Consider the following 22,835-nt stretch of genomic DNA (forward strand, 5'->3'; position numbering starts at 1 on the left):
CATATAATATCTTTATATCATGGACATTGATACCACCAAAATGTCAGCCACTAAACACTCTTTAAACATAACCTTCTGGCTGGGCCCGGTGGCTCATGCCTGGAATTCCAGCACTTCGGGAGGCCGAGGTGGGCAAATCACGAGGTCAGTAGATCGAGACAATCCTGGCCAACATGGTGAAACATCATCTCTACTAAAATACAAAAAATTAGCTGGGCATGGTGGTACGCACATGTAATCCCAGCTACTTGGGAGGCTGAGGCAGGAGAATCACTTGAACCTGGGAGGCGGAGGTTGCAGTGAGCCAAGAACATGCCACTGCACTCCAGCCTGGGCGACAGAGCAAGACTCCGTCAAAAAAAAAAAAAAACAACTGCTTATATTTCTTCTTCAATTATTTCTACTGCCCTGTACTTGACATCAATGGTACTACAATCTGATGACTATGTTTTGACTCTCTACTACTCCAACATTACACTAAAGATTATTTCTAAAATACCTCAGAATGTATCTCAGGAAAAAATTAATCTAACTGCCTGTGCCCTCTGTGAGTGCTGCCAGCCGTCTGATTGGAAATGGGGACACCACTCCTCACACGGGGCCTTGACATTGCCCAGACATTGTCCATTCCTAAGGAAATTATTTTTTGATTCTCTGCCTAGTAAAGATTCACCCCAAATCCACATAAATGATTTAGAATGTTTTCCACTGAAATGCTAGAATTATATGTGAGTTAGAGATAATAAGCAAGTAGGAAATAGGAACAATTCAAGGTTGGTTAGTTCAGTTGCTCAGCAACGTCTTCAAGGAACTGGGCCCTTTCTATGCTGCCATCCCCACCTCTTGGTATTACCTTCCCTCATGGTCATGAGATGGCCATAGCAGTACTAACGCTGTGTGAACACAGGACGATATCCAGAGAAGAGAGGTGTTTTCCTCCAGCAACTGTCTGCATTATCAAAGAAAACCTTTCCCAGAAGCTGACCAAGAGGCTCTCTCTCGGGTTCCAGAGGGCATAATTAGGCACCATGTGCATCCTCTTACTAATCACTAGCAAGGAGACTGCGACCAAAGGAATCTGTCACATCAGCACTCCCCAACATTTTTGGCACCGGGGACCAATTTTGTGGAAGACAATTTTTCCAGGGATGGTGGGTGGCGGGATGATTTGTGGTTGAAACTGTTCAGGCAGCCTAGATCCCCTGAATGCGCAGTTCATGATAGGGTTTGTGCTCCTGTGAGAATCTGCTGCTGCTTATGATCTGACGGCAGGCCACGCACAGGCAGTAATGCTTGCCCATCACTCACCTCCTGCTGTGTGGCCGGGTTCCTAACAGGCCACAGACTGGTACCAGCCTGTGACCCGGGGGTCGAGGACCTCTGTGTTAGATACAAGATTATTTATTTTGGCATAAAGTGGTTAAAACCTTTCTGTAAATAAATATAGTGGTGAATATCTCCACAAAATTAAATCTTTGTTAGCAACAAATGAAAAGACATGGCTTTTGATAGTCAACCAATAGCAGGAAAGTAGTGTTACAGAAGTCAAGGAAGCAACAGTTTGAAGAGAGATAACTTAATTACAGTGATTCTGATTCAGTGAGATATAGAAATAAAAAACACACTAGTAATTTGAAGGTCATTTCTAACTCTTGCCAAATAATTTTTGTCTAGTGACAGGAGTACACAGACTTGGAAGGAAATACTTACAATATCTCAAAAACGACCCACCTTGTCAATGGTATTTCCTAAGGTTGACCCTCCTTAACTCTAAGATCCTCTGCTTTAAGTCTTAGAAGAAGGAAAATAAATAGAAAATGGAAATTGGGATGTACAAGGAGTTAAAATGACAGTGATTAAAATGATAGGTAGATTAAAGGTGGGCTGTTTCATTCACTATTCTAGTTGGAGTTCAGGAAAATAATATAAAATTAATCCTTTGAAGGTAAACCTTAGAAATAATCATTGTTTCTGCTTTGGATGGGAATGCAACTTATATGGCATCCTGTGGAATTTATTGATGCCTCTCATTTATCCTAAAAGACAGATTCTTCTTTTACAAGACAACAGATGAATTCCCTTGAGGTTATTCCTCACTTTCTGTGTGGTGATATACAGAGAATAGGTGAAGAGCTGATGACTGGGTAGGAGTTATTTCTAGGAAAGGTCTAGTGTTGATCACTGTATTAGAAAAAGAGTAATTTAAGAAATGTTGTAAATATTCGTAATATCACATTAGCACATACAATAATTGTCAGCTCCATAACCAGGCATGCTGTTATCTCTCTTTCTAGGATAGCTAATACATCCTAAAATGCTCTGATACGCTGCGGGGTTACTAACACTGTCTTTAATGCAGCATTTTTCTTTGAAGGACTGAAACCAAGTGGTCTCTCCAGGGCATCATAAATCTTAGTTTTCATTTAGAATATAGAAACCATAAAGAAAATAAAACAATATTTAAGCCTCAGAGAAGGCCAATTTCCAATACGAAATGGGATTGTTATGAGAGTAAAGGAATGAGCAGAGGAGAATAGGAACACTGCAATGTACACGAGGCTGCCAGAAACAAAATAAAGGAGGCACGGGAGCCCTGGGGACTCTACATGATAGAGCAGTGACCAGAAAACTGAAATGGTCCACATGGACTATTCATTTTTTCAGCCATCTGTACTAAAGACTGTAGAATATCAAGATTTCAATGATATTGCTAAAGACAGATGCTCATATGATTTTAAATTATACATTTGAAACTTTGTGTGAATTAAGAAGTCATCATTTGAGGTAAATATGCAATAGAAATAATATGATTTGACAAAGCTTTGAGGTAAAATGATTTCATGGAATTAAGTCACAATACATTATAATTTTCTAATTATATACAACATCTTTAAACTTTTGAAGCCATTAAAGCATAGCAGGAATTTAATGAGAGATCTAATTTTGTGTACATCTATCGCATGATTCATTTCTTAAAAGTTCTTGTGAGTCAAAATGTGGGCAGGGAACTTTCAGACTGTTTATCTCCCAATAATATGTTATTGTTCTATTTTTATATATTCCTTGGGATTTGCAAAAATAACAAAGGTAAATTTTCTTACAAAAATCGAAGAGCATCTTCATTAATTAAAAGGAGGAAACTTTTCTGTAAATCTTTATTAGAAGAGTTGGCTAGCCCAAATATATCAGCATATTTTATTGTGTGTTATTTATAGTTAAAATAAAAATAATATTAAGTAATAATTGACTTAATCACCAAAATAACAGGTAATCAGAATTAACATTTAACAAGCACATGTGATAAGTGAGACGCTCTTCTAAATGTTTTAGATGTTATCACCCATTTTATCTTCATGATAACTGTATGAAGTGCTGACAATGTTTTCAAGGAATTTTGTAAATCTGTTAACTAGAACACAGTTTATATCACTGAGTACATTAAGGAGCTGGAGCTTGACACTAAGTAGTCTGACTTCAAAATCTGCTTGTAAATTTTTTTCACTCACGGAACAGCAAGTTGTTAATATTTTTATCTAAAATAATTTTGCAGATAATGCTGTCATAGTGTATTGAAATGTTGTAAAAGTATTAATATGATACAATTTAAGGATTTTCCAGGAAAACATAATCTCTTTCATTCTTCTTATTGTGTTTGTTCCCAATCCATTAATAAATGACTAAATCCCTTTGCTTAAAATCATACAGTAAAATAAAAATGCTCATGGATAGGAAAATATTTCATGTTGCAATTAACCACCTCTTCTCTTGTATAGAGTTTCTGAGATGTGGGCAAAAAAGAGCCCTGGTATCAAAATTACCAAATGTACAAATTATTTAAACATTTCTAAACATATTCCATTTCTTCTAGTGGAGATCAAAACTGGTTACTAAAGAAGTTTTCAGGTAATTTGTGTGTACAGTAAAGAGTTAAACATTGACTCTCATAATAATTAATTATATATTCCTAAAAGTAAGATGTGAGTGAGCTTAAATATATTGGATAGCTTAAACTGTTGAGCTGTAATACCACTAAAGATGGAAGACTGAAAATACAAAGAAACGGTCGTAGATTCTTGTAAACATTAAAATGCTACCGAGAGAGGCCACTGACTGAGGATGATTTCAAATCATTATTTATTTGTCAGAAGTAAATGTTTATAAAATATCACAAAAGATTACCAACTATTTAACGTATTGAAAAATGTTGACTATTTGTTTTTAGATTATCCTTTACAAAAAAATAAACTATATTAAAATATTTGGAAATTAATATTAATTGACTGTGACAAACCAAATGTCACTAAAACATATTGTAATATGACATTTTTGTTGCTTTTTCAGAATGATGGTATCTGTTGCTTTAAATATCTACATAATTGACTACCATTTTAAGGTCTTTGAAATATACAATTTCCTATTATAAATTATTTTTGAAAAGGGAATTGCTTTGCATTTTGAGAATTTTCAAAAGCAAAACCAAGACCTATGCATATGTCAATTGCCTAACATTAAAATATTAAAATAAAAAATTACAAAATACTTTTGTTTACAAAAGTATACAACTGTGTGGGAAGGAGGTAAAGAGAAGTTAAAGAAAGACAACAGATTTTAAAATTCCTATCTTACTCAAATGCTCAAATTCGAGCTGGAATACAACCCATGCAATCTGCAGGGTGTCAGTAAGAAACAGAGCAGCAGATGAGTAGGAATTGACATCTGTGGCTTGGGAAAAAAATTGGCAAGGAGAGCAAAACAAGTAGTTAAAGAGCTCTAAATGGCCATAAAAATATAGTCTTCTGAAAAACACAGGACAGCTTAAATTCTTATTTTTATTATCTTCCCCTATAAAGTAATACATGTTTAGGAGGATAGCCATAAATAAGAAACAAAATAGTCATTCTAAAAAGAAATAAGCATGTTGTGGAGGGTGGAAATACAAGGGAGTATTTTGCTATATGGAGTAGATTACTGATAATATTTAATGTACATCAGCTATATTTTGCAAAGTACATTTCAGGTTCCATGACTGATGTTGTTACAAAGCTTGTAGAATTGTATTGTTCAGAAACTTTCTAAGGTTTATATAATTTTTCCCTTCAGAAAACAAAAGCTGGGAAAAGAATGATGCATACTGTTTTCTATTTTCTATGAGTTACAATAACAAATGAATTATCAAGATGAACTAGAGAGTAAAGATATTAAGTCAATACAGGGCCCATGATTCTAATACAATTTTCTATCTTTAATTAAAATAAAATAGACAATGCACAAATCCATTATCAAAAATCAAAAGTCATATTATTATATTAAATACATTTTCACCAAATGCTTGAGAACACATGCATTTGATGGTAAAGACATAAACAAAAAATACTAATTAATAAAACAAAACACTTTCTGTTGTGGTATTAAATTAGACTTTTCATTATTTATGATTTATAGGGACAATTTATAAACATAGCTAACCCCATGATAAAACCACCCATAATAACAGACATTTAGATATAATATGTATTTTTAATTGGATCCCATTTTTATAAATAAGATAATAAAGTTATATTTTTCCTCTTGCATGTGGGGTGGGAGAAATGGAAGGAAATTATTAAAGAGTACTATTGTGTTCTCAGTCCGGTATATGGTCAGTTGTGCACATAATAAATTTTATCAGCTTTGATTTTGTGTTTTTTCTGATGGTAGAGAAAGGCAGGCTAAAAAATTTGCTTTTTGTTATTCTTGCTATAACCTGACTACACGTCTTACTTGTTAATAATTTTGAGCTCATTTATGGTGTTTTGATTGAATATTATGATATTACATATAAAAAAAGCAAACTAAAACATCACAAAATCATACTCAATTCTTCAAATTTCCATAATAAGAACATCTTAATAAGACAAATTGCAACTATCAGAGTACCACAGTTGAAATACCAATATTTCTAAAATATTGTGTTCACAAAACATTTTGCATGCGTAATAGATGTTAAATTTTAGATATATTTGAAATATGGATCTAAACCATTTTAACATATTTACTATTTTTTCATAATAAATGCAATCCATGGCTACAAAGTGAAGTAAAACATTGTAGAAGTCTTCTTTTCTAGCCCATTCTCTACTAAGTCCCTTAGTAACAGTCTGTGCAATGACCTATGCTGATTTATCTGTAATCCCCGCTACAGAAAATGTTTATTAGTTCAGTTAATTTATCATTTGGCTACCTTCTGCATTCTCTAAGATGCAGCTAGAGATCATTTGTGGACCCAGAAAACCTTGGCTGCCCTAATTTGTACTGAGCCACCCAAATGGTTATTACAGCAGTAGGATAACACTTTCACCATGGCCTTTGGCTGTATTTGTATGGCCATTTTAATTCTTCGCAGTTTGCTTCCCAGTGACTCATATTCTTCTCCTCAGTTATTTCTTATTGACATCCAAGTAAAATACTCTTGAAGCAATGGATTGGTTTTTGTAGATTAATGCAAAGTTGTTTCAAGAAACCTGAATTACAGGCTGATTCTTGATATATATAAGGGTTTTGGATTCTACTAAACATCCTACCTAAATACGTTTTACAAATAATAAAGAGGAGGCTAAATATATTTTAAAAATAAGGAGTCCTGGCCGGGCATGGTGGCTCATGCCTATAATCCCAGCATTTTGGGAGGCTGAGGCGGGCGGATCACAAGGTCAAGAGATTGAGACCATCCTGGCCAACATGATGAAACCTCATCCCTACTAAAAATAAAAAAAAATTAGCCAGGCATGGTGGCGCACACCTGTAGTCCCAGCTTCTCGGGAGGCTGAGGCAGAAGAATGACTTGAACCCGGGAGGCGGAAGTTGCACTGAGCCAAGATCATGCCACTGCACTCTAGCCTGGTGACAGAGCAAGACTCCGTCTCAAAAATAAATAAATAAATAAATAATAGTAATAAGGAGTGCTATGTGTGGTATATAGTTGACTATCAACAAATATTTCTTGACTGACTGCATGAACTAATGAATAAATTGACCTCTCTTATTTTAATGGTAATTATTACTGCTGATATCCAAGTTTGAATTGAACTTGTTTCATCCAGTTTTAATTCATATTTTTAATAATCTGATATAACTTGCCTCAAAGCATGTATTTTACCTATTGGGGCTATAGTTTCTGCTTGGTGAGAGGCTCTACAGTATTTCAGGCATTTAGCAAATATTTATTGAGTGCCTACTATGTGACAGTGCGCAAAATCAAGTTATTTGATAGCGGACCTTGAAAAGCTATATGCTTACCTATAGTGCTGACTGGATCTAATACTGATTCTTGACAAAATAAGGATGAGTCAGCTAACTAATAACTTATACTGAGTTGTTTAAAGTTTTAGCCTTCTCTAATGACCTTGTTTGTTGTTGGCTTTTACCTGCTGTAATCTGCTAGACAGGCCTGACTCCCTGACTTGAAAGACATAAAAGACCCCATTGAAAACTTTTGTGGGAGTTCTACAAACAAGATTTCTCATATATATTATATTATCCTACTCCAGACAAAGCATACACTTTAGGATGCCGTTTCTGTAAGTCTCTCAAAGCCCTAATACTTGCTTGTGTTTTCTTTCTCCTGCAGTAACATATTGTTTTCCTTTAATAAAGTCTTATATGGAAATTCTTGGTAGTGTTTTATCAGTGTTTTTAATTAACTAAACTGCATAAAATTTGTAGCCAATTATGGAATGAGTTGATGGAAATTCAATATTCTACAAAGGCAGATATTGCACTCTTTTGGAACAAACAGTGTTCTCTTTCTACCTCATTCTACCCTCTCTGAAGACAATCTTGGTCTTCTCCCACACGTTTATGTACCAAGGATATGTTATTTTCAATGGAGGTAATAAAATAAACCTAGTTTTATTTTCTCTATATTTTGTCACAAGAGTTTCACTCTTGTATAATTAATGGTTTTATAAGAACTTTTAGAAAGTTGAAAATTTTTCCAGCATAGCAAGATAACATGTGAAAAAGAACTTAGAATAGACCAGTAAAGATGGCTCTGACCTTATGTAAATCATACTATAGCATCTTTTGCCTAAAAAAAGAGGTATAATGGTTTCATGTAGGAAGGCACCAGTTTTATGAACAAAACTGGAAAAAATTTAGTGCTAGAATATGGGTACTTAAAGTATTATTTGATGACTGTATTTGGAGATCACAACTGATAGCTGGGAAATTTGTATTTATCTAAAAAAAATAGGACTTTGAGGACCCCAAATCTTCTTTGACTTATTGCAAATTATACTTTCCATAATAAATAAACTGTTCAAATTAAAGAACACAGTTCATAATTTTTAAAATATTATTTTAATTTATATTGAGTAACAGAGGTGTATATTTTAAAAAGCAGTAGTGATGAAGGTTGAAAAAATGGAGAATTCCTTTGGTATAAATGTTTCATTCTAAATAAAAATGGTTATATATATATTTTTGGAATAATCAATTTTAAATATTATTAACTAATTCATTTTTTTGCTAGAAAAAGGTTTAAAATCTTCACTGGGTCCTTTCTGCTACCAATCCAATAAATGTATGGATTTTTAACATTAAATTAGCAGTCAGTAGTTATTCTCATTACGATAATATTCAGTGATGAGTCAAAATATATGATTATTATGATTTATTTTATAAAACTAAACAGGGGGAGGCTGTTATAACATGAAGGCTTGCTCTCTCATGTACCTGTTGGTGGATACAGGCTGTAGTCTGAGACCTCAGCTAGGTCTACTAGTTGGAACGGCTACATAGGACCTCTTCATGTAGGTACATGTCTTCCTCAAAGCATGATGGCTGCATTCCAGAGAAAGCATCCCAAAAATAACAAAGGAGAAGTTCATAACTTTTTTATACTTGGATTTAGAAGACAAATAGTTTTACTCTTGGCATGTGCTACTGAGAGAAGCAGACACAATAATTTAGTGAAGTTCAAGAGGAATGGACTCTTCCAGTCAACAGTAACAGTATCAACATCACATTACAAGCACAACATGTGAGAATGAATATACTCTAATGACCCTATTCAGAAAGAGAAATTAACTGTATATTGCTATGACTACCCTGTGTTAAACTCCTTGACTCTGTATTTTTCTATTCCTTGGTTATATATAAATATATAATTTCCAAGCAATTTCTATGGTTTGAATGTTTTTGTCCCCTGCAAAATTCATGTTGACACTTAATTGCCAATGCAACAGCATTGAGAGATGTGGCATTTTGAAGTGATTGAACCATGAGGGCACTTCCATCATGAATGGGATTAGGTCACCTAATCAGAGGACTTGACAGAGGGAGATTGTCCCTTTTTGCCATTTTACCTTCTGCCATGTGAGAACAGTGTTCCTCTACCTTCATTCTGGATGAAAGTGCCATCTTGGAAGTAGAGATTGGATCCTCATTAGAAAACAAACCTGCTGGCAAGTTGATCCTGAACTTCCCAGCCTCTAAAAATGGTGAGAAATAAATTTTTCTTTATGAATTACCCAGACTGTGGTATTGTGCTATAGCAGCACAAACAAAGACAGCAATGAAGAAACAATCTTAACCACATGTCCAAGACAATAAATGTAAAAGATCTATATTAAAATATGTCATCAATGAATTTCAGGACTATTTAAACATCAGAAAAAGCTGATCATCAAAGTTCCTGTCTAAGGATGGAGGGACAGCAGGAAGGTCACAATCAAATACAAAATAGATGAATGGCCTGAAGTTTTTAATAGAATGGATCAAGGTTTCCAAAATTTTGATGTATAATGGCATCCAACAAACAATTTGGTGTCTAAAAAAATCATTCACATGTGAGAACAGAAAAAAATGCTAATATTGAAGTGTGTTCTGGTTTTAAGTGCTCTATTTTTAAGAGCGATCTCACATTGTAAGTATGCACAGTCATTGCTGAAGATACTTAATTTCTTTAAAAAATGATAAATATCCATTTGCATAGGGTTAGAGGAAGCATACGCACTCCAAAAGTAGGGTGGAATATATGTGATGATTCTCCAATAGTCAAATATATTGATTTTACTTTTATTTCATTTTCTTTTTGGCCTCATCTTTCTGTTGCTCAAAGTTTTTCTTAAATTCTCAAGTTAGAGTTAAGTTATCCAGAATATAAACTTCTCATTAGATAATTTTTTTCTCTCTTTCTGTGCATTTGTGTGTGTGTGCATGTGTGTGTGTGTGTGTGTGTGTGTGTTTGTAGAATTTTTCATGGATCTCAGAATTATAAATACAGCTGTCCATTCAGCATCTCAATTTAGATTTCTGATAGTCATCTATGAGTTTGTAGTAGAAAAAAGTAAAGTTTTTCTCTTGCACTTTTTCATGTCTCAGTTAATGATATTTCTTCTACTCATCAGTTGCAACACAGAACCTTAGAGTCATCTTTGTTCTCTTCCAATAGACCCCATATACAATACATTATCAGTACTGTGGATTCGTTCTCATAAATAGATTCAGAATGTAACTATTAACCAATATGTGCACTGTTACCATCCATCAATGCTAGCTCTCAACTGAATACCTGCAATAGTCTTTTAAATGATGTCCTATGATATGGTTTGGATGTGTCCCACCCAAACCTCAGCTTGAATTGTATCTCCCAGAATTCCCACGTGTTGTGGGAGGGACGCAGCGGGAGGTAATTGAATCATGGGGGTCAGTCTTTCCCGGGCAATTCTCATGATAGTGAATAAGCCTCATGAGATCTGTGGGTTTATCAGGGGTTTCCGCGTTTAGTTCCTCCTCATTTTTCTCTTGCCGCTACCATGTAAAAAGTGCCTTTTGCCTCGCATCATGATTCTGAGGCCTCCCCAGCCATGTGGAACTGTAAGTCCAATTAAACCTCTTTTTGTTTCCACTTTCACATATGTCTTTATCAGCAGCGTGAAAACAAACTAATACATCCTATTTCCACAATTATCAGCACCACTTCCTTCGTCCCAGGAAATCTTTCCTTAATATAAAACTAGAGTGAATAGTTTAGAAGTAATGAAGATCATGCCTTTAATCTAAAATTTCTAATGGATTTTTGTTTCAATAAAATAAAATGAATATTTCTGCCATGACTTATATACTTTTCAAAAGCCAAAAGCTGCTTTTCTTACGTTACTTTTTGGACTCCATTTTCTGTCATTCTTGCATTTTTACCTGATTCAATTACCTAACCCTTTTGCCCTTCTCCAATTAGGCTAAGTACAGTTTTACCTCAGAATCTTTAAACATAATTTTGTCTGAAAATTTTTTCCATTAAACAATCATTGCATACATCCTGGCTAACTGTCCCAGTATTAGGAAAGCCTTCCTTAATTCTCCAGCACACTCTGTCCCCAATGCACTATTTCTTAAAATCTTTTCAGTGTTTTTAAAAATTATCTGACACACTATATATTTATTTTATCATTCATTTATTATATATTTCCACTACAAGAATGTAAGTTACTGAAGTGTAAGACTTTACCTGGTTCAGCTATTGTTCCATTTCCAAAGCTTAGAGTAGTCCCTAGTAAAGAATAGCTGTTTAATAGCTATTTGAAAAATAAATAACTCACTAAAAATGTAATGTGATAAAAATATAAAATAAAATTTGTTAGATTTTCAGTATCCTAACTCTTGATTATGTAATTCTGGCTAACAAAAAACTGAGAAAGTGTTTGAATTTTAGATATTTGTGAATGAGTTTGATGTGCCATATTCAATCAAAGTTTTAAAAGCATCAAAGTCAGGAATCTCTTGTTTCTTGGCTCTATAAGTGCACTCATCCCAGGATCACTCTTTTTGGCTCAAATTACAAAATTTTAGTAAATCTTTTGTGAGAAATATTGTAAGCCCCAGGAAAATTCATTCTCCCTACTTCATGTTTTCTCTTTATAACTTTTGAGTGATTTATTTCATGATTTGGTAATAAAGGTAAAATAAAATTTGCTTCAATTTTGAATATTTGTAAAATGAAGATTTTATTAAAATAATTTGTGAATAATTTTATTGATTCAATAGAACATTTTTTGATTCAATCAATAACATTGATTGATTCAAGAGCCCCAAGGAAATCTTTTCTTTGAGGTTTTGATGGTGTTCAACTGTAAGTCCTCAGGACTTGGTGCTTTCATTGGGATAATAATTTTTTAACAATATCTTTTAATATTTTCTATTTTAATTAATAAATTTACTATGACAAATTTTATTCTCTCTGTCTGTGTGTCTCTGGTTATGTTCCCTAATGTTTGTATTAAGACATCTTTATTTTAAAAGACTAGATCTTTAAACTTGATATCAACATACCCAAATATAGGCTATAATAACTACAATTACTTTAATCCAAAATTTCATATTAAAATAGAAAAACTGCTACTATGCATCTGCATGCAGATTCCAGTGAAAATATTAACATTGTAGGTGAATCTAGATAAGAAGTTGTAGATTGCACAGCAGGCATAAACAGCCAGTTTCCTGATAGCATCTTATTTTCAGCACTAATTTTTTAAATGGATTGAGAATTTTCACTATATTTTTCCTGGAATAGTTAAGGGAAAATGACTTTAATAACAGTGAACATTCCTGTGAAAAAAATAAGTAAGACTAAATAAGAGACCTAGAAAATTTCATGTATTATAGAATATATGTAGATGATAACATACATTGAAAAATGCAAAACTATAAAATATATAATCTAATAATCCACATACCCTAAATAAATAGAAAGACAGTCGAGAACTCCTTCCTTCCTTGCATGGAGGGAAGAGTGTGAAGTGAGCACCCAACTTTGCTGTGAACCCCAGCACCAGGCCACCCCAGTGAAACTCAAGCAGACCAACCCTTACTGCCCCAAGTTCTGGTATCTATGGACTGAACCTCCAGGCCTACCCCGATATCAGGCCAGCCCCACAGCGTCAGGCTCCAGGACAGAATCTGATTATCCAGCTTTTAGTTCTGTCCCAATGTGAAGCCAGCCCTCACAGTTCAGCTTTCATGTCAGCCTCACAGTCTCAGGATTCAGGCCCATTCTGGCACCAGGTTGGTCCCCACAGCCCCAGACTCTAGGCTTTCCCCACTAAACTCAGACTCCAGAACTTTACCTGTACACCCCGGCTTTAGACTTTCCCCCATATCTCAAACTCCAGGTCCATCCTGGTACCAGTCCAGCCCCTATCAACCCATGTTTCTGGCTGCTCCTATAGACATAGGCTCCAGGCCTGCCTCCATGGACCCAATACACAGGTATACCTCAGTAGATAAGAGTGCCAGACTAGACACCTGAGGATCCATGCAGCTGAGAAGATCCTAGCTGCAGTATCACTATGGTGGACCCAAGCTTCAGACCTATAACTGTGGATCCAGGGCCCAGGATCTATGCTGGGCCCTTTGGACCCAGGCACCAGAATCACCCCACCTTCTCACCCAGGTACCAAGCCTGCCCAGTGATTTGGGCAGCAGGCCCATCTGAGGATCCCACTAGACAACCTGCCCAGAATCTCTGGACCAGCTGATTGGTGAAGGGCTTTCCCTACCATAGCCAGTCTGTAAAGACTGTAATAGGTGCCTAATTCTTCAAATGCATAGACACCAATGCATGGTGATGAGGACCAGGAATAATCAGGTAATGTAACACTGCCAAGGGAATAAAATAAACAATCAGAAGCTGAACCGAAAAGAAATGGATATTTATAATCTTTCTGTCAATGAATTCAAAATAATCATCTTAAAGAAGCTCAGTGTGCTACAAGAGAACACAAATAGACCACTAAACAAAATCAGGAAAACAATATGTGAACAAAATTAGAAATTCAACAAGAAAAAAATCATAAAGGAGAATCAAACAGAAATATTTGAGCAAAATGGCACAATGACTGAACTGAAAAATTTCATAGAAATCTTCAACAGCAGGTTTAGTCAATCAGAAGAGAGAATCGGTGAGTTCAGAAACAGATCATTTGAGATTACCTAGTAAGAGGGACAAAAATAACAACTAAAAGAAATGAAATCAAATGAAGGAGGCCTATAGGAAGTATGGGGCACCATCAAGTGACCAAACATATGCATTATGAGAGTCAAAAAATAATCAGAAAAATAAAATAACAGGAAGCTTATTTAAAATGATGGGAAACTTCACAAATCTGGAGAGAAAAATGAATATCAGATCCAGAAAGTCAAAATAACCCTAAATAAGTTAATATAAATAGATCTTTATTGAGATTATAATCTGATATATATCATATATAATATATATCGTATATAATATATAATATCAGATATATACTGATATTATAATCAAATTCTTAAAAGCCAAGGAAAAAGAGAGACTTTTGAAAGCAACAAGAAAAAACAACTCATCACGTACAAAGGAATCTTTATGACACTGTTAGCTGACCTTTCAGCAGAAACATTGAAGGCTGGGAGAGTATGGAATGATCTATTCAAAATGCTGAAGGAAAAAAAACTGCCTGCCAAGAACAGAATGTCAAGCAAGGATGTCCTTCAGAAATGAAAATAATATACTTTCCTCAACAAACAACAGCTGAGGGCAGGAGTTAATTACCACTAGATTTGCCTTAAAAGAAATGCTAAAGAAAGTTCTTTAAGTGGAAATGAAAAAATACTAGTTGCTAACATGAAAACACGTAAATACATAAAACTCACTGTAAAGATAAAAATACGTTTAAACTCAGAATACTCTAGTACTATAAAAATGGTTCTTAGATCACTTTTAACTCTAACATAAAACTTAAAAGATGAAAATACTAAGAATAACTATAGCTATAATAATTTAATAGATGCACGAGAAGAATTTATATTGAGATAACAACATTAAATGTTGGGAGAGAAGTTAAAATGTAAATCTTTTATATACGGTCAAAATTAACTTATCCTCAGCTTAAAATAAAGTATTATAACTATAATATGTTTTTTCTAAGCCTCATGGTAACAACAACAACAAAAAAAAACCTATAGTAGGTACGCTAAAGGCAAGGAGAAATAAATCAAATCTTACCACTACAAAAACTCATCAAATCAAAAAAGAGAGAAGAAAGAAAGAAAAAAGAAAATACAAAATAATCAGAAACTAACAAAATGGCAATAATAAGTCCCTATCTCTTCATCAGTTCTTCAAATATATTAGATTAAATTATTCAACCAAAAGACATACAGTGAATGAATTGATTTTTAAAGATTCATCTATAATCTACCTATAAGTCGCTCACTTTAGATTCAAGAACAGACATAAGCAGAAAGTGAAGGGATTAAAAAATTTCATGAAAATGAAAGGAGGTGTGGCTATATTTATATCAGACAAAATACACTTCACGTCAAAATTATCACAAGACGCAAAGATGGTCATTATATAATAAAGGAGTCAATCCTCAAGAAGATGTAACAATTGTAAGTATACGTGCACCCAATGTTAGAGCACTTAAACGTATAATGCAAATATTGACAGAACTGAGGGAAGAAACAACCAGTACTACAATAATAGAAAGAGACTTCAGTACCAAACTTTCAATACACAGGTAATCCAGACAGAATACTAATAATGAAACAATGGATATAAGCAATACTATAGATGAAATGGACCTAACAGGTACATACAAAACATTTTATCCAAGAATACTAGAATATGCCTTCTTTCCCAATACGCAGGGAACATCCTCTAGGATAGACAATATGTTAGGCAACAAAACAAATCTTAACAAATTCAAGAAGATTGCAATTATAACAAGTATTTTTTTTCTGACCATGATGGTATAAAACTAGGAATTAATAACAAGAGGAAAATTGGAAAATTCACAAATATGTGTAAATTAAACAAACACTCCTGAACTATCAAAAGGTTAAAGAAGAAATCAAAAAAAGTAAAAGAATTTACAGTGATAAACTCAAATATTAAGAAGAAAGATCTTCAATAAACAACCTAACATTACACCAGAAGAAATTAGGAAAAGAATCACAAACTGAGACCAAATTCAGAAGAAGGAAGGGAATTATAAATGTCAGAGCAGAAATAAAATTAAGAAGAGTCTCAAAAATTAATAGAAATTATCCACAAAACAGTTTTTTTAAAATAAAATTGACAAACCTTTAGGTAGACCAACTAAGAAAAGAAGAGAAGACAAAAATCATCAATGAAAGAGGAGATGTTACAGCTGCCAGCAAAGAAACAAAAAGGGTATAAAAGAGCACTATGAATAATTATATTTCAACAAATAGAATAATTTAGAAGAAATGAACAAATGTCTGAAGACATACAACATATCAAGATTACCATGAAGAAATAGAAAATATGAACAAATTAAAGAGATGAGTACACTTCTAAATACATTTTATGAGGCCAGCACTACCCTTATGCCAAAGCCAGACAAAGACACTACAAGCAAATGAAATTACAGGCCAATATCTTTAGTAAACTTATATGCAAAACATTAACAACAGAAATTAAACAAGACACAAACAGATAAAGGTATATCCCATGTTCATGGATTGGAAGGCTACATAATGTTAAACTGCCTGTACTACCCAATTTTATATACAAATTTGATGCAATCTATATCAAAACACCAATGACATTTTTCACATAAATAGAAAAAACGTCTAAAATTAATTGGAACAACAAAAGATCCAAATAGCCAAAGAAATATTGAACAAAAGAACAAAGCTAGAGGCATCACATTACCTGATTTCAAAATATACTGCAAAGCCGTAGTAATCAAAACATCATAATACTGGCATAAAAACAGTTATATAGACCAATGGCAGGGAAACTAACAGATACCAAAACTAAATTCACATATTTACAGTAAATCAAATTTTGACAAAGGTGCTGGAAACATTATGGGAACAGGACAATCTATTTTATACATGATGTTGGAGAAAACTGGGTATTCACATGCAAAAGAATATAATTGGGCCCATATCACATGTCATATACAAAAATCAGTTTGAAATGAATTAAAGACATATACGTAAGACTGAGCTATAAAACTGCTAGAAAGAACCATGAAAGAAGTTTCTTGACATTGGTATGGGTAATAATTTTTTTATTATTACCCAAAAAGCACAACAACGAAGGTGACACCAAACATAAGATGGCATCAAACTAGGAAGCTTTGCATTACAAAGGAAACAATAAACAAAGAGATAACTTACAGAATGGGAGACAGTATTTGTGAACCATACATTTGATAAAGAGTCAATATCTAAAATATATAATAAACTCAATTCAATAGCAAAATAATGATAATAATCCAATTAGAAAGGGGCAAAAGACCTAAACAGGCAGTTCTTAAGAAAAGACTTCAAATGGCCAATGGATATGTGAAAATATATGCAACATCATTAATCAAAAGGGAAATGCAAAATCAAACCACAATGAACCATTAAAAATCAAACCTCATGACTATTAAAATGGCTGTTATCAAAAAAGTAAACAATAACTGCTGCTGAGGATGTGGATATAAGGAAATCCTAGTATGCACTTAGTAGAAATTTAAATTGGAGCCATCATTTTGGAAAACAATATAGTGGCTCCTCAAATTTTTACAATATAGAAAGATAATTTGGCAATCCTATTTCTGGGTGTATAATCAAAGGTAAAAAATAAAATGAATGTAGTACCATTCAGACTTAAAAAAAAATCCTGTCATCTGCAAAAATATGAATAAATATGCAATATGGCATGCTAAGTGAAATAAGCCAATCACAGAAAGACAAACAGCACGATCTCACAGGTGGTCTCTAAAATAGTCACTCATAGAAGCAGAAAGTAGAATGGCGGTTGACAGGAGCTGTGGTGGTAAGGTCCAGGGGAATGAGGAGATGTTGCTCAAAGGGTGCAAAGTTTCAGTTAAACAAGATAAATACGTTCTGAAGATCTACTGTAGAGCATGGTGACTACAGTTAATAATGTACTGTATTCTTGAAAAATGCCAACAAATATCTTAAATGTTCACAAACAAATGAAAAGTATTTCAAGTAACAGATGGTAGTAGCTTGATTTAATTATTCACATGTATACATATAACAAAACACTGTAAATATATTTAATTTTGAAATGTTAATTTAAAAATGCATATAAGTAAATATAAGAAAACAAAGTAAAAAATGTGAAATAATTGGAGAGGTAAAAACAAACTGCAAGTGTTTACAAAAGCGAGATGATATATGAAAAACATCTGAAAAGTAATCTCCAGATAAATATTACAATCATTCAGATTTTTTTGATATAGCTGCTATATATGAAAATTATGTAAAAATAGATATTTTATTTATGCAGATAATCTACTAATTAGAAAATGAACTTTTAAAAACTACCAGTTATAATTACATCAAAATATATGACATCTTTAAAGCACATGCAACCAGATATGGGAAAGATAATCACGAAACATTTTAAAAGCTATTAGAAGTTATTAAAGAATGATGAAAATATAGTTTTTAATTAATTGTGCCATTATCTGTGTAAAAAAATGTAAAATCAGGAAAGCTTTTGTACATAAAAGCAATTACAAGAAAGATACAGAGACATGGGAACCCTAATTCATTGCTAATTGAGATATCAATTGGTAAATTCAGTTTAGAAAACCTTTGACATCATCTAATAACATTTAAAATAACACATGTCCTATTATGCCACAATTTTTATTTCTGCTGTTTATAAAACTTCCCCTATGAACACCATAATGTACATACTAGAATGTTCATAAGCTGTAGATTATTATTGCCAAAACTAGAACTAACTTCAATATCCCTCACAAATATTATAGCTGATGAAATAAGTGCATATTCAATTAGACTTTATACTGCAATAAAAGGCAAATGGTAGCAGTGTGCAGGAACATGGATGCATCTTAAACTGTAATGCTGCAGGAAATAAGCTAGCCAAAATGAACTTGAAAAGTATGATTACATTAATATAAATTCAAAAGATGCAAAACGAAATTATAGTTTAGAGATGAAAACTTAGGTGATAAAATCTATGAAGAAAATCAGAACAGAAGAAAATCAGAACAAAAGGGAATCAGTCAGGAAAGTATTTATCTGAAGGCAGTGGGCAGGCCTTATAATTAAAAAAATAATAATTTAGAGATCTACCGGCTTCTAATTTCTGATCACAGGAATTAGAATATTGTTTACACAATTGCTCACTTTATTTCTACATTGCACTTAAATACTTTATATACATGTTATTCTGTATGTTACATTTAATTATTGAAAAAACATTAGTACTGAGTACATAGAAATGTAAATGATAAAATAATGGAGATCTTTGAATGTGGGAAATGGGAAACTGCAGACAACTTTTGACAAACAAGCTATTAAAACTAAGTACAGAATCTGGTCATAATTAACTGTGAGGGCAATGACTAGTTGGTGCTAGGATACAGATTTAGCAAGAGAGATAAAGGTGGAATAATCTTGGATATGTATGAGGAAAACAAGGAGCTTTAAAGAAGACAAGAACACAGATTTCAAAAAGAAAGAGATACTTAATAACAGTTAAAATATTGTATTTCAGTATTTTGAAATACAAGAGAAAGGTAGAATACTGAGGATTGGGAAGAAGAAAACACTCATATTGTTGATCAGTAGATGAATTCATTATGTTTTGTCCTTTGATATATGGTACGTTGTAACTGGTTCTTGCTCCAACTAGAGTCAAAGGGTTTAAGGAGTGTGTTGTATAAAACAGACACACAGGGGGCCGGGCACGGTGGCTCATGCCTGCAATGCCAGAACTTTGGGAGGCCGAGGCAGGCGGATCACCTGAGGTCGGGAGTTTGAGACCAGCCTGACCAACATGGAGAAACCCCGTCTCTACTAAAAATACAAAATTAGCCGAGCGTGGTCGCACATGCCTGTAATTTCAGCTATTTGGGAGGCTGAGGCAGGAGAATCGCTTGAACCCTGGAGGCAGAGGTTGCGGTGAGCCAAGATTGTGCCATTGTACTCCAGCCTGGGGAAAAAGAGTGAAACTCCCGTCTCTAAATAAATAAATAAATAACAGACACACAAGGAAAGCAATTTTTCTCAGGACAATGGAAGTTTATCTGAAGTGTTGTGTTCTCCCATCTCTAGAAGCACTGACGATATTTATTCTCTTACTGCAAGACCTGCCCAGTCCAAGCCCCCAAACCGACTTTGGATTGAGATAGGAGACTCTTAGTCTACTCCATTTACCTTTCAGCAGAACTTGGCATTATGTCACTGTTGTCATTTTAGCCAGATCCAGGAAACACCAGGAATTGATATTGTCTGAATCCAAACAGTTTGAAGAGGCCCCTCCAGAGCTAAGATCCAGAGCTCCAGGAGGATTTTCAAAGCCTGCTGCAGGTATCTCTGGAACTGGGAGGAAAGGTCTCTAAGGAGAGAAAACTTCCAAGAAGTTACTAGTAGCCTGCACCCCTGAAGAGGCATGATTGAGCAGTTGTAGAAGTATAAAAAGAAGGTGGCATTGGTGGAAGCAATATATAATAATTACAGGTATATTCTATTAAAGAAGAAAGAAAAATAGGAAAAGTTCTATGTAATTATTCACTTTTTTTTTTGACCACGTGCCAGTTAAAGTCCAGGCACTTTTGGAAGGCATCTGCAAGCTTGTTTCCTGAATCCATATTGCTATTTCTTAGAATTTAGGTGAGAATACACTTCTATCATGTAAATTCAGAGATTTGGAGATTTCTCTCTTAAAATACCTATTGCTACTCTAACATAGAATTCTGAAATCTATTGATATTTCAATATAGGAACCTGAATTATTTTTCCTATAAGGGCCAAATAGTAAATATTTTAGGTTTTGTGGGCAATATTGTGTCTGTGTCCACTACTCAACACTGCCATTGTAATACGACTAACTACAGACAATATATAAGTGAATAAGTGTGACTTGTTCCCAAAAATGTTAATTACAAAGTAGATGTTGGGCCATATTTGGCCCACAGGCTATATTTTGCTCACCCTTTCTCGAATGCAATAGACAATCCTAGTGCCTTAGCTGTATTTCATCTCCCTCATTCAGAATAAGTGCTGTTAAGATTTAAAGAAAGAAGGGTAGATGTTTTCATATGGAATGAAGGTAAAGGAAGTTACCAATATTAAATCAATCAAGTTAAATGTGTAGATCCAGAAGAAAGGACAAAATATGGATGGCAGGTATACAGAAAAGAGGAAGAGTAGGTTTAATTGATGAAGCAGGACCTGGAAGGGGTTACGAAGCCAACATATGTAAAAACTGTAACTTTGGAAAAGAATGAGACATTTCTTGCTGGAAACAGAGAAATGGTATGAAAGGTGGCTAAATAAATGAAAGTCTTACATACGATGAAAAAGATATCATCAGTGAAGAGTGGAAGCACAAGCAGATCTCACTGGATACCCAAAGATAGTACTGTAGTTAGAAGGAAAGAATTTTAAGACATTTTACAAAATTTTATAATATTTAAATTTTAAATTGAGATAAAATTCATATAACATCAATTTAACCATTAACCTTTTTAAAGTGTACAATTCAGTGGTATTAAGTCCATTTACAATGTTGTGCAACCATCTCCCCTATTTAGTTCTAAGGTGTTTACATCATTCTAAAAGAAATCCCATACTCATTAGGCAATCAATCCCATCCCCCTTCTCCAAGCCCCAATAACCACTAGTCTGCTTTCAGTCTCCATGTATTTATCTATTCTAGAAGCTGCATATGAATGGAATTATATAATACATGATTGTTGTATCTGGCTTTTTTCACTTAGATAATGCTTTTGAGGTTCCCCTAGTTACAGCATATATAACTACTTTATTCATTTTTAATGACTGAATAATATTTGTATGAATCCATTCTATTTCATTTATTTATTATCTTCTGATGAACACTTGTTATGTTTCCACCTTTTGGCTACTGTGAATACTGCTGCAATGAACATTCATGCACAAGTATTTGTTTGCATGGTCGTTTTTAATTCTTTTGAGAATATACCTAAGAGTGAAATCACTGGCTCATATAATAATTTTATGTTCAGCTTTTTGAGACACCAACAAACTACTTTCCATAGCAGCTGTATTTTGCATTTTCACCAGCAATGTTTGAGGATTCCAATTTCAGCACATTTTCATCAACTGCAGAAAAGAAGAAAATATTTGCGAATCAAAGATCTCATAAAAATCTACTATCCAGAATATATAAGAACTCTTAAAACTTGACAACCAAAGACAAAGAACCAAATTTTTTAAACGGGAATAAAATCTTGGATAGCTGTTTCTCCAAAGAGATGTACAAATGGCTAAAAGTTGCTCAACATCATTAGTCACTGGGGAAATACAAATCAAAATCTCAGTAAGATACCACTTCACACACACTAATATGGCAACAATAATAATGACAACAATAAAAAGAGAATATAATGTATTTTTTAAATGATCCACCGTAGAGTCAATGGAAGGACAGAACATTCATTTTGCTGCTTAAGTTCTGAAAAAATCTGAGATGGTTTAAATGCTGAAGTTAAGATTGAAGGAATGGGAGTATTTTATACAAATATTGGATATAGATATTGCAATAATTAGGCTGTTGGGGATGACTATGGGTGTTAGAATTTAAAATCTTTGAATCAAAGAATAGTTCAGGGTGATGTGATCAAAGTGTTATTTGCCCATGTAAGTGAGTGAAACCTAATATACATAAAATTCATTGAAATTTGGGAATTAAAAATGATAATTTTAACATCCCCTATCATAGAAGAGCTAATCGCCTTCCATGATCACGCCCTTATAATCATTTTTCTAATCAGCTTCCTGGTTCTATATGTTCTCTTTCTAACACTTACAAC

The sequence above is a fragment of the Homo sapiens genome, chromosome 4, assembly GCF_000001405.40.
Source record: "Homo sapiens chromosome 4, GRCh38.p14 Primary Assembly".
NCBI classification, from domain to species: Eukaryota; Metazoa; Chordata; class Mammalia; order Primates; family Hominidae; genus Homo; species Homo sapiens.